The sequence below is a fragment of the Homo sapiens genome, chromosome 3 (assembly GCF_000001405.40).
Source record: "Homo sapiens chromosome 3, GRCh38.p14 Primary Assembly".
Classification (NCBI taxonomy): domain Eukaryota; kingdom Metazoa; phylum Chordata; class Mammalia; order Primates; family Hominidae; genus Homo; species Homo sapiens.
The window spans coordinates 2,911,319-2,927,530 of NC_000003.12; the positions used below are offsets into that span (position 1 = coordinate 2,911,319).

General features: G+C 38.5%; 1 protein-coding gene across 40 annotated transcripts in view, besides 1 other annotated feature; it reads left to right on the plus strand.

Annotated features, from left to right (window-relative positions):
• The window catches only part of CNTN4 (contactin 4), a 959,094-nt gene that overhangs the window by 812,453 nt on the left and 130,429 nt on the right, over positions 1 to 16,212 (plus strand). For all 40 annotated transcript variants that reach the window (XM_017005783.2, NM_001350095.2, XM_047447536.1 and 37 more), the window contains one exon: positions 14,311 to 14,461. In XM_017005783.2, coding sequence (XP_016861272.1) covers positions 14,311 to 14,461 — 151 coding nt within the window. The remainder of the gene's footprint in view (positions 1 to 14,310; positions 14,462 to 16,212) is intronic.
• Positions 10,641 to 10,690: an enhancer, noted in NCBI's record as "active region_19337". NCBI's record gives its function as "activates an Ori minimal core promoter by ATAC-STARR-seq in GM12878 lymphoblastoid cells {active_cell/tissue: GM12878}" and the evidence as "EXISTENCE:reporter gene assay evidence [ECO:0000049][PMID:35858748]".

Consider the following 16,212-nt stretch of genomic DNA (forward strand, 5'->3'; position numbering starts at 1 on the left):
AAGACACCAAGGGAAGCTCCTGAGTAGAAACCAACAAATCTTCAATTAGGGGATTACATACAAAAGCCCAGAGAAGATGCATCATCAGAAAAGGCTTGAGAGATTTGCGGAATCTCTAGCTGGACTGATTGCTCTCAGACTGCAAAGACTAGGAGAAGTGTCTGATTTTTTAAATGCCAGAATTCCAGCAGAAGATAATAAAGCACACAAAGAAACCAGAAGACATGGCCCAACCAAAGGAACAAATTATATCTACAGAAATCAACCCTAAAGAAACAGAGGTATATCAATTACCAAAGAATTCTAATTATTCTCATAAAGACGCTCAAGGAATTAAGAGACAGTACAGATAGATAACTAAAGGAAATCAGGTAAATGATGCATGAACAAAATGAGAGTATCAACGAGATAAAAGATGAAAATGAGCCCAAAGAAATTCTGGAGGTGAAGAATATAGTAAGTGAATTCAGAATATAGTACTCAATTTACTAGAGAGATTCAACAACAGGCTTGACCAGACAGAAAAAAATAATCAGCAATTCAAAGACAGAACATTAGAAATTATTGAGGCAGAGGAGCAAAACGGAAAAAATAAGAAAAGTGAAGAAAGCTGAAGGGTCTATGGGACATCATCAAGTGCAACAATATAAGTGTTATGTAATTTGCAGACAATAAAGAGAGAAAATGGCAGAGAGCCTATCTGAAGAAAAAATGGCTGAAAACTTCCTGAGTCTGAGCAAGGAAATGGATTCACAAATTTTAGAAGCTCAAGAACTGCAGCTAGGATGAATCCAAAGAGATCTACACTGAGACACATTATAATCAAAGTGTCAAAAGTCAGAGACCAAAAGAAAATCCTGAAAGCAGCAAGAGAAAAGCAACCCATCACAAACAAGTGTGCATCTGTAAGATTATCAACAGATTTTTCAGCAGGAACTGCATGCTAGAAGGGAGAGAGATGATCTACTCAAAGTGCTGAAAGAAGGAGCTGCCAATCAAGAATACTATATCCGGTAAAACTGTCCTTCCAAAATGAGGGAGAAGTGGAGACTTTCCCAGATAAACAAAAGCTGAATGAGTTTATCACCACTAGGTTTACCCTGCAAGAAATGCTGAAGGGAGTCCTTCAAGTTGAAATGAAAGGATGATAAACAACACAAAACTATATGAAAATTTAAAACTCCTAGATAAAGGTAAACATACAGACAAATATAAAATCCTGTAATATTGTAGGTACAAAAATCACTTTTATAAAAATCTGGTATAGAATGTTTTAAAAAGTATAAAAGGTAACTATAAATCTATGTTAATAACTGTACAGTATAAAAGGAGGTAATTTGTGTCATCAGTAACAAAGTGGGGCAGCAGGATGTAAATAGTTTTTATACATGATTGAAGTTAAATTGTTGCCAGCTTGAATAGATTATTATAACTTTAAGATGTGCTATATAATTACAGTGGTAACCACAAAGATAATATCTATATAATATACAAGAAGAGAAATGAGCAGTGAATGAAAACATATCATTTTTAAAAATAAAGGAAACACAAGGCTGGGTGCAGTGGCTCACGCCCGTAATCCCAGCACTTTGGGAGGCTGAGACAGGCACATCACTTGAGGCCAGGAGTTTGAGACCAGCCTGGCCAACATGGTGAAACCCCATGTCTACTAAAAATACAAAGTTTAGCTGGATGTGGTGGCGCATGCCTGTAATCCCAGCTACTCAGCAGGCTGAGGCAGGAGACTCACTTAAACCCGAGAGGCGGAGGCTGCAGTGAGCCAAGATCACACCACTGCACTCCAGCCTGGATGACAGAGTGAGACTCTGTCTCAAAAATAAACAAATTAAATAAATAAAAATTAAAACAAATAAAAATCGAGGAATAAAAATCTCCTCTTTTGAAGACAGAAAGAGGAGAAAGGGTAAACACAAAAGCTACAAGATACATAAAACAAATGAACAAAATGGCAATTGTAAGCCCTTCCCTATCTCTAATTATTTTAAACATAAATTGATTAAATGCCCCAATTAAAAGATATAGCTTGACTGAATGGATTAAAAACAAACAGGATCTAACTATATGCTCTCTGTAAGAGACACACTTTAGATCTAGGGTTACACGCAAGCTGAAAATGAAAGAATAGAGGAAAATAATCCGTGCAAACCAGAACCTAAAGAGAGCAAGGGTGACCGTATTAATATCAGACAAAATAAACTTTAAGACAAAAACTGTCACAAGAGACAAAGAAAAACATTATATAATGATAAAAGGACTGATTCATCACAAAGATGTAACTGTTAGAAATCTGTATGCACCTAATATTAGAACTTCCAAGTGTATGAAGCAAACATTGACAGAACTGAAGAGAGAAATAGCAGCACAATAGTAGGATACTTTGATACTCTATTTTCAATCATGGATAGAACAGTCAGACAAAAGACAAATAAGGAAGCAGAGGATGTGAACAACCCTGTAGGCCAGTTGGACCTAACAAGCATATAAAGAACACTGCTCTCTACTACAACAGAATATGAAATCTACTCATGCACACATGGAACAGTGTCCAAAAGAGACCATATGTTAGGGTACAAATAAGTTTTAACAGATTTAAGAAAATTGAAATTATACGTAATATCCTCTCGGACTATGACGGAATGAAACTAGAAATTGATAGCAGAGGAAAAACGGGAAATCCACAAATATGTAAAAATTGAACAACTCATTCTTAAGCAATGAATGGGTCAAAGTAGAAGTCACAATGTAATTTAGAAAATATCAGGAGACAAATGGAAATGAAAATACAACATACCAAAACTTACGGATGCAGCAAAAGCAGTAATAAGAGGGAGGTTAATAATGATACATGCTTACATTAAAAAAGAAGAAATATCTCAAGTCAATGCCCTAACTTCGCACCACAGGCAACTAGAAAAAGATTTTAAAAACTGAAAAATCAGTAGAAGTAATAGAATAATATATATTAGAGCAGAGATAAAGGAAATATAGAATAGAAAAATACTAGGAAAAAAATCAGTGTAAACAAGAGTTGATTTTTAAAAAGATCAACCAAATTGACAAACCCGTAGTAGACTGAGAAAAGAGTGTACTCAAATAAGTAAAATCAGAAATTAGAGACATGAAACAGATGATTCAGAAATAAAAAGAGTATAAAGACCACTATAAATAATTATTCACTGAAAAATTGGATAACCTGGAAGAAGTAGATAAATTGCTAGAAACATACAACTGCTTAAGACTGAGTCTTGAAGGAATAGAAATGTGAATAGACTTAGAACTAGCAAGGAGATTGAAGTAGTAATTTAAACTTCCCAATAAAGAAAATCCCTGGACCAAATGCCTCAGTGGAGAATTCTACCAAATACTTAAAGAAGAATTAACACCAGTTTTCCCCAAACCCTTCCAAAGAATTAAAGAAGTGGGACCACATTTAAACTCATTCTGTAAGCGCAGCTTTATGTTAAAACCAAAAACAAACAAGGACAGAAGAAAACTACAGACCATAACCCTGATGAACATTGATCTAGAAATTGTCAACAAAATACTAGCATACTCAACTCAGCAGTACATTAAAAGGATTATACACAATGTCAAATTGGAATTATACCTGAAATGCAAAGATGGCTCAACATACAATAATCAGTTAATATAATATACTGCAGAATGAAGGACCAGAACCACGTGATCGTTCCAATTGATGAAGAAAAAGCTTTTGACAAAATTCAATACCATGTCTTTTTTGTTTGTTTGTTTTTTCACTCTGTCGCCCAGGCTGGAGTGCAGTGTTGTGATCTTGGCTCACTGCAACCTCCACCTCCCGGGTTCAAGCGTATCTCCCACCTGAGCCTCCCAAGTAGCTGGGATTACAGACGCATGCCAACATGGCTGGCTAATTTTTGTATTTTTAGTAGAGACGGGGATTCACCATGTTGGCCAGGCTGGTCTCAAACTCCTGACCTCAAGTGATCCTCCTGCCTTGGCCTCCCAAAGTGCTGGGATTACTGGCATGAGCCACTGTGCCTGCCCTAATTCAATACCTTTTCATGACAAAAACACTCAACAAAGTAGAGAAGCAAACTACCTCAACCTAATGAAAGCCTTATATGAAAAATTTTACTTCTTTCCTTTCCAATTTGGATGGCTTTTATTTATTTACTTACTTATTCTTTGTCTAATTGCTCTGCCTAGGACTTAATACTAGGTTAAATAGAAGTGCTGAGAGTGGGCATCCTTGCTTTGTTTCTGATCTTAGAGAAAAAGCTTTCAATTTTTCACTGCTAAGCATGATGTTACTCATCCACTTTACAGTCAGAAAATTAAAAATGGAATTACCATATAATCTGGCAATCCTAACATTTGGTATATATTCAAAATAACTGAAAACAGCATCCTGAAGAGAGATTTGCACACCTATATTAATTGCAGTATTATTCACAATAGTCAGGAGGTGGAAGCAACCTAAATGTCCATGGATAGTTGAAAGGATAGAGGAAATGTGTTTAAGTACATACAATGGACTATTATTTCTGTTATGTATTACAACATGAATGAACCTTGAGGACATTATGCTAATGAAACGAGCCAGTCACAAAAAGCAAATACTTCATGATTCCACTTTGTGAGATGTCTAACATAGTCAAACTCATAGAAACAGAAAGTAGTGTTGTTACCAGGGGCTGGGAGAGAGGAGGAGGAAATGGGGAGTTGGGTAATGGGTATCAACATTTAGTGTTGCAAAACGAAAACATTCTCGCAATGAGTTGCACAAAAGTGTGCATATAGTTAATACTACTGTACTGTACATGTAAACATTGTCAAGATGGTAAATTTTATGTTATGTACTTTTTTTTTCTTTTTCTTTTTTTCAATTTTTTTAGTATTTATTGATCATTCTTGGGTGTTTCTCCGAGAGGGGGATTTGGCAGGGTCATAGGACAATAGTGGAGGGAAGGTCAGCAGATAAACAAGTGAACAAGGGTCTCTGGTTTTCCTAGGCAGAGGGCCCTGCGGCCTTCCGCAGTGTTTGTGTCCCTGGGTACTTGAGATTAGGGAGTGGTGATGACTGTTAAGGAGCATGCTGCCTTCAAGCATCTGTTTAACAAAGCACATCTTGCACCGCCCTTAATCCATTTAACCCTGAGTGGACACAACACATGTTTCAGAGAGCACGGGGTTGGGGGTAAGGCCATAGATTAACAGCATCCCAAGGCAGAAGAATTTTTCTTAGTACAGAACAAAATGGAGTCTCCCATGTCTACTTCTTTCTACACAGACACAGCAACAATCTGATTTCTCTTTCCTTTCCCCACACTTCCCCCCCTTCCACTCGACAAAACCGCCATCGTCATCATGGCCCGTTCTCAATGAGCTGTTGGGTACACCTCCCAGACGGGGTGGCGGCCGGGCAGAGGGGCTCCTCACTTCCCAGTAGGGGCGGCCGGGCAGAGGGGCCCCCCACCTCCCAGACGGGGCCGCCGGGTGGAGACGCTCCTCAGTTCCCAGACGGGGCAGCCAGGCAGAGGTGGCGCTAGACGTCTAGGTGGCACTTCCTAGACGGGGTGGCGGCCGGGCAGAGGCTGCAGTCTCGGCACTTTGGGAGGCCAAGGCAGGCGGCTGGGAGGTGGAGGTTGCAGCGAGCCGAGATCACGCCACTGCACTCCAGCCTGGGCACCATTGAGCACTGAGTGAACCAGACTCCGTCTGCCATCCCGGCACCTCGGGAGGCCGAGGCTGGCGGATCACTCGCGGTTAGGAGCTGGAGACCAGCCCGGCCAACACGGCGAAACCCCGTCTCCACCAAAAAATATAAAAACCAGTCAGGCGTGGCGGCGCGCGCCTGCAATCGCAGGCAGTCGGCAGGCTGAGGCAGGAGAATCAGGCAGGGAGGTCGCAGTGAGCCGAGATGGCAGCAGCACAGTCCAGCTTCGGCATCAGAGGGAGACCGTGGAAAGCGGGAGGCGGAGACGAGGCAGAGGGGGAGATGGTGGAAAGCGGAATAGGGAGAGGAAGAGGGAGACGGAGACGGAGAGGTGTACTTTTTACCACAATTTAAAAAATAGAAGATTTAGCAGTATTTTTCAAACTTGAAGACTCATATGTATTACTTGGGAATTTTGTTAAGTTTAGATTCCAATTTCAGGTCTGAGGTAGGGCCTGGAATTCTGCATTTCTAACAAACTTCAAGGTGATGCCAGTGCTTCTGCTCTAGGGATCACATTTTCAGTGGCAAAAAGTTGTGAAATCATAGATCTCTTCTCTGTCTTGTAGTGGATGGAGTTCCGGAGGGTGTACATTTAACAAGCTTCTGGTGATTTTTATGGTCAATTAAATTGAGTTTATTTGAGGTGCCACAGATCTGTAATCTGCTTTCTAGATCCCTTTCTTACCCATTCTTAAGCCATCACAGCAGAGTACCTTTCTAACTTATAAGATTGTGTAGAGGTTGGAAGGAGGACAGGACTGTTCTGTTGGTATAATGACCCTGTGTCCAGTTAATCCATGCTTCCATTGCTACATTATCCAAGAGTGCAACATGACCCAACAAAACCTCTATCAGTCATGTGAGGCATTTTTTTTTTAACAGAAGAAGAGCATTGGCACCAACAATATTCCATCTCTTCTTTTTCCAGCATGAGAAGACCATGGTTCTTCTAGACTCCTAAAGAAAGTCATTTGTACTTAGTGTAAGGCGTGTTGCTTTTGGTAAAGTCTTTTGAATGTGATGAAAATGAACATAGCACAAAGGCAAAATATATGCTCTCATTGCCTGCAAAACTGTTTCTGGTGCTTTATTGAAAGAGCATGATAAGCAAGATATCAGTCACTGCCGCATTGCATAAACATAGCTCTTCTACATTGTAATATGGTTCTGGTGAGCCTGCATGTCTAGAATAGAGCCTGTATCACTGAAGTGCATGAAACTGCTGTGATAACTTGTCTCACAAAGCCTCAGGGAACACATTATTTGAGCAAGTAAACTCAAGGTGAAGTTCTTACCTTCTCAGTCCTGGGTCAGCTGTTGGACATACTGGGGAGGAAAGAGGAGACCATGTGCTTCTGCCGAACAAGACCCAAATCTGGGGAAAGCTGAACTTCCAGGGTGCACTTGCCCTGTTACCTTCTCCTAAGTACATGTTGTGGGAAAAGTAGGGAAAGGCGGTTAGCTGCTAGAGCTAGCTCAGCAGCAGGAGCTCATTCTATGTATCTCTTCTCAACCCAGCGTTCAGTGACTTCATGTTGATAGCTTGAAATTGGCCAAGGTAGGAATATTTACACCACAGAAATTGGCAAGGACTACAAACCAAATTCTTTGGTGTTTTATTTTATTGTTTTGTTTTATTTAGAGAGCCACTTGTAAAACATTTACTATCACACCAGTTCAGATGATTTAGTAGTATAAACAGCCCATGTGGTATTTCTTGGATAATTTGTTTCATTAGACTGAGGTACAACTCCAAAGAGGATGTCATGTCCTGTACACAGGACTGGAAGTTCACGAAGCCATTCATAACCCTATATGAAGGGGAGAAAGAGATGTAGTGTTCAGGCAAAGCCTCATGAGACGGGAATTTCCTGTTTTGAACTGAATCCCTGATTTCTTTCCTGCAACATACATTCATTCATCAAATATTGATTATCAACTTTTTTATAATACACAAAAGGGAAAGAGGCTCTTACTTGAATTATGCCAGAAGTCAGACAAAAGAAAGATTGTTGCTTTTTGGCTGGTCATGGTGGCTTACGCCTATAATCCCAGCACTTTGGGAGGCCAAGGCAGTAAGATGACTTGAAGTCAGGAGTTCAAGACCAGCCTGGCCAAGATGGTGAAACCCCATCTCTACTAAAAATACAAAAAAAAAAAAAATTGCCAGGTGTGGTGGCACACATCTGTAGTCCCAGCTACTCAGGAGGCTGAGGCAGGAGAATCACTTGAACCCAGAAGGCGGAGGCTGCAGTGAGCCAAGATTGCACCACTGCACTCCAGCCTGGGTGACAGAGCAAGACTCTGTCTCAGAAAAAAAAAAAAAAAAAAAAAAAACCAGATCGTTGCTTTTTAAAAATTGACTTAATTCTTCAATAGGTTCATTGATTAAATATCAACTTTGTATCAAGCACCGTGCCAGGCCCAAGGGATATACAGATCCAGGATACATATTCTTGCCTTCAAGGAACTGATGTTCTAATAATAGCTAATAACAAGAGCTACTATTTCCTAGCTACTGAAATTCTAGGGTTCTCACTATCATAGTCTAATGACTCTCTTCTGTTCATTTAGCAGACTTCGCATACTGTACACTACCTGCATAACCAAGGACTTGAGTTTGTATAAGAGTTTAAGACACTGACATGTAAATGAAATATCACCAATTTGGACTGATATAAGAAAGTCGATGTGATTACAGAGTGTTTAAAATGCAGACTGTCTTATTATCTTTATATGGATAGGATGGGTCAAAGGAGGTTAACAAGAATTTAGCAGCTGAAGCCCTACTTAAAGCATTATATAAGAATTAATTTTAATCAACATGTTGATTATATAAGAAATAATGTTCTAAAATGTCTTTAAAATATTTTTCTGGGAATAAGAGAAAACCTCCACCTATGTTTATGTAACTGATTTTTGAGTTTTCAAGTCTTTTATAAAAAAAAATAAAAGGCCATACCTAATCCTACTTGTTGGCAGAGAAAGATGAGAGATCTTGAAATGGCTCCCGTGCTCAAAGTATTTGTCAGTTTTCATAGAGCCCGAAGTGCCGATATTGAAGATGTATTTCTTATCCATACCAGCATGTAATACTCAGCAGGAAAAAGGAACAAAAACTCCAAAAGGTCACATACTGTATGATTACACACCACACACACACAGACTCTCTCTCACACACATATGTATCTAAAACATTCTCAGAATGACTAAACTATAGTAATGGGAAGAGGTCAGTGGTTTCCAGGAGTTACAGAGGGGAGGTAGAAGGAGGCTGGATATGACTGTGAAGGGGAAGCAAGAGGAAGATCCTTGTGACAATAGAATAGTTCCCTATCTCAGTTTCCATGGTGCTTTTGCCCAGTCTACATGTGTGATACATACACATTATACCAAGTATCAGTTTCTTTGTTTTTGTATTTAACTGTATCTACATAAGATGTAACCATTGGGGGAGACGGGGTGAAGGATGCACAGGACCTTTCTGTATTATATTTGGTACTTTCTGTGGGTCTATAATTATTTCAAAATAAACATTTTCTGTTTTCAAACAATGATGTGTTTCTCGGACTCTAAGAAAATTTTCAGCAGAAGAAAAGTCCGTGATAATGGTGACTGGGGTAGTGCAGTAGTGGAAATAGCAGTGGAGAGGGGACGTATGAAGTTCTTAATCTGGATCAAATACTGTGCTAAGTACTTTATGTTCAATACATGTATTATTTTATTTAATCCTCAAAATAATCTCATGATTGTAAAATTCTTTTGTTTCATAATAACGCCCAAAGGAATAGGAGTTTTTAAACCCAAGAGCTGCCCGTGGAAGAAGCATTATTAGAGCCATCAGGAAACAGGGCATTCAGTGAATTAGACCGAAACAATAGAAGGATGGATATTAGGAACACTAGAAGGGGCACATCATGCTAACATCAAAATGGAAAAATCATCTACTTCAGAGTTGTGTTGAGAGTCTCCTTGTGAATATCATTCATAATAAGAGAGCACTGACTTGTTTTTTAAAAGACAGGGTCTCACCGTCACCAAAGCTGCAGTGTAGTGGTGTGAGCCTAGCTCACTGCAGCCTTGAACTCCTGAGTTCAAGTGATCTTCTCACCTCAGCTTTCCAAGAAGCAAGGGCTACAGGCATTCACCACTACACCTGGCTAATGTTTTATTTTTTATAGAGACTGAGTCTCACTGTGTCACCGAGGCTGGTCTTGAACTCCTGGTTTCGAGTGATCCTCCCGCCTTGGCCTCCCAAAGTGCTGGGATTACAGGCGTGAGCCAACACACCTGACCTCAGAGAAGGCTGATTTTTGAATCAGCCATTCTAAAACAGTGGACCTAGAAAGAAGAAATCTTCTACCAGTAGCCTTCTTTCTAGATAGCAATCCAACAGGCCAAAAGAAATTTGGGGTCTCATAATCTGATACCAATATTTTCTCCTCAGTAGTGAAAAGATTTGAATTAATGCATTTACTCTAAGCTTGTTTTTAGGGAATGATGAGGTAATAGTTAAAGAAAGTAGACAACGGTTAAAGTAATAAGAAATGCTGAACTTCCAAAAAAGCTGGCCTTAATATTCTCCATCAACTGGCAGTGTTCCCAGTGATGCTTCTATCACAGACTGTGATAGAACTGGCATTACACAATAATCCTTTCTTCTTCAATAATGTAGTAAGACATCACATCCATATATTTCCCAAATAGGACTGCCACTGCATATCTAGTTAAGGAGCTATCATTCTACTGTTTCTCTTGAGAAATGACACTAAAGCAAAAAACTTTTAAGTTTTTGAGGGGTTCTATTGGCCACTTAAAATACCCTTGATATATGACCAAAATTCATTTAACTAACTAAAAACAAATAGTTGTGAATTACATAGAGGGCTTCTCTCAGCCAGATGCTTCTCATAGATAATCTAATAAAGATCATTGAAAAATAATAAAAAGTTGCATTTCTCACATGGAGGAGGACCCATAATACAGTTCATTCTAATACTGAGGGAGTGGTGCCCTCTAGCAGTGCATGTGAGAAATATTATCATTTAAGTATATTAAATACAGCAAATAAGGAGCTCCCAGTATCTCAGCTACTCTCAGACATAAGGGGCAATTTGACAGTTCTGAGCTACTAGAAACTACTGAAGTTTCACTTCCATGTGCACTAATTTTTTAAGTGCCAGCGAAGGTTAGATTCTAATAGTGCCCTTCTGGGGATTTACCAATAACTTTTAAAACCTCATTACCTGTGAATGTCAAATAGAACAGGTCCCTTTCACTTTTCCTTCAAACCTCCCCTAGGTCAGTGTTTGAGGATGAGAATAAAGGGTACAAATAGGAAAAAGGATCATCCTACAAGCTGAACAGCATCTCTGGTGCAAAAGATGCTCACAAAATGGGAGAATGTTAAGAAATCCATTAATAGCTCAAGTATTCAAAAACTGATGGAGTTCTGACAATTTTCCCTTAAAAGTACCACAGTTTATGGTTACAACTGATAAATTTGCAGGGTTAGATAACTTCAGAAGCTAATTAAGTAAATTGAGTTAACAAAAGAAAAGAACTTGATTTTTTTTTTTTTTTTTTTTTTGAGACGGAGTCTAGCTCTGTCCCCCAGGCTGGAGTGCAGTGGCACGATCTTGGCTCACTGCAATCTCCACCTCCCAGGTTAAAGCGCTTCTTATGCCTCAGCCTCCCCAGTAGTTGGATTACAGAGGTGCAACACCACGCCCAGCTAATTTTGTATTTTTAGTAGAGACGGGGTTTTGCCATGTTGGCCAGGCTGGTCTCGAACTCCTGGCCTCATGTGATCTGCCCACCTCAGCCTCCCAAAGTGCTGGGATTACAGACATGAGCCATCATGCCCGGCCTTGAATTTTTAATTCCATTTTAATTAGTGAAAGATGTTCCAGCCAGTCTTATCTCGATAAGATATCCAAAAGATTATATGCACACCAATAGTACATTACAAATGCTTTTGAAACTGAAAGGTGTGTTTTCTGGTTTCTGTGTGTCTGATATGCTATTTCAAATCCTGTAAAAGCAAAATGTAGTTTTTTGACAAATATGCCCATGTGTTGTGCACAGTTTGATTTATGTAAACTCATTTCAAATGCTACTGCAGAATTTCTCCTGAATGGATGAAAAATGTCCGCCTAAAGTGATAAAATTATATGTGTAGAAAGATACAGTTTTAAGAAGGGATTTTTATATGATACAGATTTGTAACTCTATTTCACAAAATATCATTTAAAAAAAAACTTCAAGAATACCTGACTTTTTTTTTTTACATTTTTCTGTCAGTTCAGGGGTTTGCATTGAGTTTGCTCTGCTGAAACACTTTTCTGTGACTTAGCTTATATGGGATTGGTAAGTAGGGGAATGATGTCAGTATAACATAGACCCTGGATTTGTTCAGGTATTTTACTAAGTAGCAGCAACCAAACACAAAGCCTACGAACACAGATTAACACAGCTAGCCAAGGGAAAATACCTACTGCACATGATTCCCATTCATGCCACATTCTTCCTGTTGGTGCAGTGTGGCCACGTACTCCAACATGGGAGTGCTTATTGCGTAATTCTCAATCTTTCTGCAATTTGCACTTATTTCATAGCTTAGCAATCTCAACTCTTCCTTCTTTCTTCCATCAAGCTACCTTCTCATGCATGTGCACACACACATACACTGTATTTTTTGTAGTAGTTATTATGAATTTAACTTATCTTTTTAATCATGTTTATATTTAATTATGTTTGATAATTACTAGGATGGTTATTGTTTTTGTAGTGTTCTCGTTACATAAATATTGAGTAGGTGTCCTGACCCTATCTTTTTCATAAACCCTACAATTTTTATTGCATGATTTTGCAGACCATAGAAGAAATGCGTTTATCTCATTAAAGCAAAAACATCTGTACATCTGTACTTGCACTCTACTTATTAATTGCACTTATTATCATTGAATTACTCCCAGAATTATAGACTTCCCTCATAAATCTGAGGTAAACAGATTGAGATATCAATTGCCTACTAGATTCATTTTTAAAATTTTACCTTCGCATGAGAATACCAGCCCCAGGTGTACATTGCATGGCCCTATTAAAAAGTGACCTCTCCATCTTTATTTGTTTCTAGGCAGTTACCGAAAGTATTTCCACAACAAAAGAATGTAATCAAGATTTGACTTGCTTCCACTGAAGCTTACTTTCATTTTTAAACATCATTAGCCTATGATTTAGGAACTTTTAAGAAATTGGCCCCCATTACCCCCCAAGCCCCCGCATTCACATAACACACACCTCAAGTTCTCCTTTAAGTAATTTGTGATTTATATTTCAATTTTACATTCAACATGGTCTTAAATATTAAATTCCACCAGGTCAAACTGCAATGAGTCAGGCTTTTAAAATATGATAAAATTAAGATTCCAAGAAATGAATCCTTCCATTCCAAAATCTCTTCTTGCACATTAATTCAATTAACTCAGAAGAAAATAGATATTTTCCAGGAAAAATGTCTTTTATTTTACTTTTGTGCGAATACAAATATGTATCTTTTGTTTTAGGAAAGAAATAATTCTCTGATAGTATTTCCATAGGACTATGTTACTGGTGTTAGCATGAGTGAATTTTTTAGAACGCTAGTGGTGAGCATATAATAGAGCTATCTCAACACCTACACTCCAAGAACAAGTCACAGCTTCTCCTAAATGAGCCAAGCATTGCATTGGGCACTTGCAGTGAAAAGCTAAACAAAACCCTGTGTTTAAGAAGCTTACGGAGAGTGACAATAGAGACAGTTCAGCATGTTCTCTAATAGAGATATATATGAAGAGTGCTATGGGACAAAGCAGAGGTGGCGACCATATCAGAGAGCAAATGCTTTAACCTACACAATTAAAAAAAAAAATCTTATGGCGTTCCTAATTTTGTTTCTTTCCCTTTCAATTTTCTGAAATTTTAAAATGTTTGTTCACTTGAACATACAATAAATTTTCTTTAAAAGAGTCCCTCAACAGGGAGATGAGAATATTCTGTGTCTTGATCTTCATGGTGGTGTATACCAAATTCACCAAACTGTACACACACAAATGTACCTTTTACCAAATGCAAATTATACCTCAAAGTTTACTAAATCCATCAAAACATACAGTGCTACATACTTTAAAAAAATTAGCTTCCTCCCTTTGATGACCAAGGTAGCAATAAGTGTATTAGAGAAAGAAAAAGATGCTGGGTGTGGTGGCTCATGCCTGTAATCCCCGCACTTTGGGAGGCTGAGGCGGGCGGATCACGAGGTCAAGAGCTCGAGACCATCCTGGCCAACATGGTGAAACGCCATCACTACTAAAATACAAAAATTACCTGGGCGTGGTCATGCGTGCCTGTAGTCCCAGCTACTAGGGAGGCTGAGGCAGGAGAGTCACTTGAACCCGGGAGGCGGAGGTTGCAGTGAGCCAAGATTGCACCACTGCACTGGCAACAGAGCAAGACTCTGTCTCAAAAAAGAAAGAAAGAAAAAGACTAAGGAATTATCTCATGGAAGGCTGTCTTGCATAATAATTATTTTTTGTACTGTCTTTCAGCTGTAGGTCCAGATTTTTCAAGAACACTCTTGAAAAGAGTAACTCTTGTCAAAGTGGGAGGTGAAGTTGTCATTGAGTGTAAGCCAAAAGCGTCTCCAAAACCTGTTTACACCTGGAAGAAAGGAAGGGATATATTAAAAGAAAATGAAAGGTACTGTCTTGAATTATTTTCAATATTTGGTTAACCTGTAAAAATGTGTTGGTCTGTTATTAATAATTCTAAGGGGAAGGTGGGGTGACTATCTGCTGTTCCTGAACTAAGTGTTAAAAAAAGAACAGAAGCTTTGGAAGGATGAGTGGTAAGTTATTGATCTTTATAGTCCTTCTGGATTTGGGAATTCTACAAAGCACTCCGTGCAGAGATAGATCACATGATCCCCGCTGAAGACTGCCAGAGCTGCCTGAAGATGAACAGTTAGAAACATCCTCCTTAATTTAAGCCTGAAATTTTTGTAGATTTCCCCACCTTTCCCCATCCTAAGTCCTTTGGTATATGTAAATAAGCCCATGTCTTATTTGCTATGACAACCCTTCAATTATTTGGCAGTGGCTATTATGTCTCCTGTTAGTTTCTCCTTTTTTGAGGCTGTCTCAAAACTCATTCAAAACTCATTCTTTTCAAAACTCATACTTCAAACAGCAGAGTGTTATGCTTTTTATTTCAACTACATATTTTTGAGAAAACAGGTTTTTTTTCTAATATCTAAACTCTTCATCTGTATATTTCTTATACATGAATTACATTTAGAATGCATGTAGTGTATACAATGCAAATATATAGGAGTTATTTGAGGTTTTACATTAGCTTGCACGAAATGGCAGGTGTCTCTAAGACCTTTTCTTGGCTGTCACCCCTGTAAAATATCCCCTACCTTTTTCTATAATCTACTTAATCTGTTGCAAAATGGTAATTATGCGTGAATCTGTTTGTCACCTATAAGACAGGATTTGCCAGCTGTATATATAATGATTTTAATTAATGCTAAAGGTCAGGTACTCAAGGATGCAAGAAGGAAGCCTATAAAAATGTGTACGTATCTACCCTTTACACCTGTACACCTTTGGATTTGCATATACATATTAGACCTGATGATGATGGTGTTGTCCATTTTAATGTAAACCTGATATGGTTTATAAATGGTGTATTCATACTTTTTTTAACACTTGCTATGGACTAAGGAGTAACAAATGTATTAAATTTGTGGTATACATCCCTTTCTGATTTCTGGTGTATCAAGAAAGCAGTGTAGTTCATTGAATGTTGACATGGCATTCAAATTTGTAGCCAAACCTGAAAATCAATAGCATAATTGCTTATTTTGCAGTCATCAACATGAGATTCATTTTCTGTTTTATTTACTTCAGTGTTTCTTAAAATGTGGCACGTGAGATTACTTTTAATAGCTATGTACTTACTTTTAATATAGTTGAAATATAACTAGTATGTACCACATGTATTTCTCAGAATAAGGCTACATTTTAAAAGTTTTAATTTTAAAATGACACTAAGAAAATAATAATATGGGTATTAGACATGTCAAAAATCATGAATGAATAAAGTTATAATAACACTGTAGGTCAATCAGGAGAAGCTAAGCTATGCTACTGTAACAAGCAACCCTGAGTTCTGGCTTATAACAACAAAAGGCAATTTCTCTTTTGCACCTAGTGTACATCAGGGGTTTGGTAGTGGCTCTGCTCCTCTCTAAGGCCAGCCTGGTGGACCAAGATGCTCTGGACGTTGCCATTGCAGAAGGAAAAGAGCCAAACATGCATGGGTTCTTAAAGCCTCTACTTAGAAGTGCAACACTTGCACTTTCACTCACATTTCATTGGCCAAAACAGGTCACATGTTCCTGCAACTCAGCAGGGAAATATAATCTTGCTATGTGCCTGGAAGAA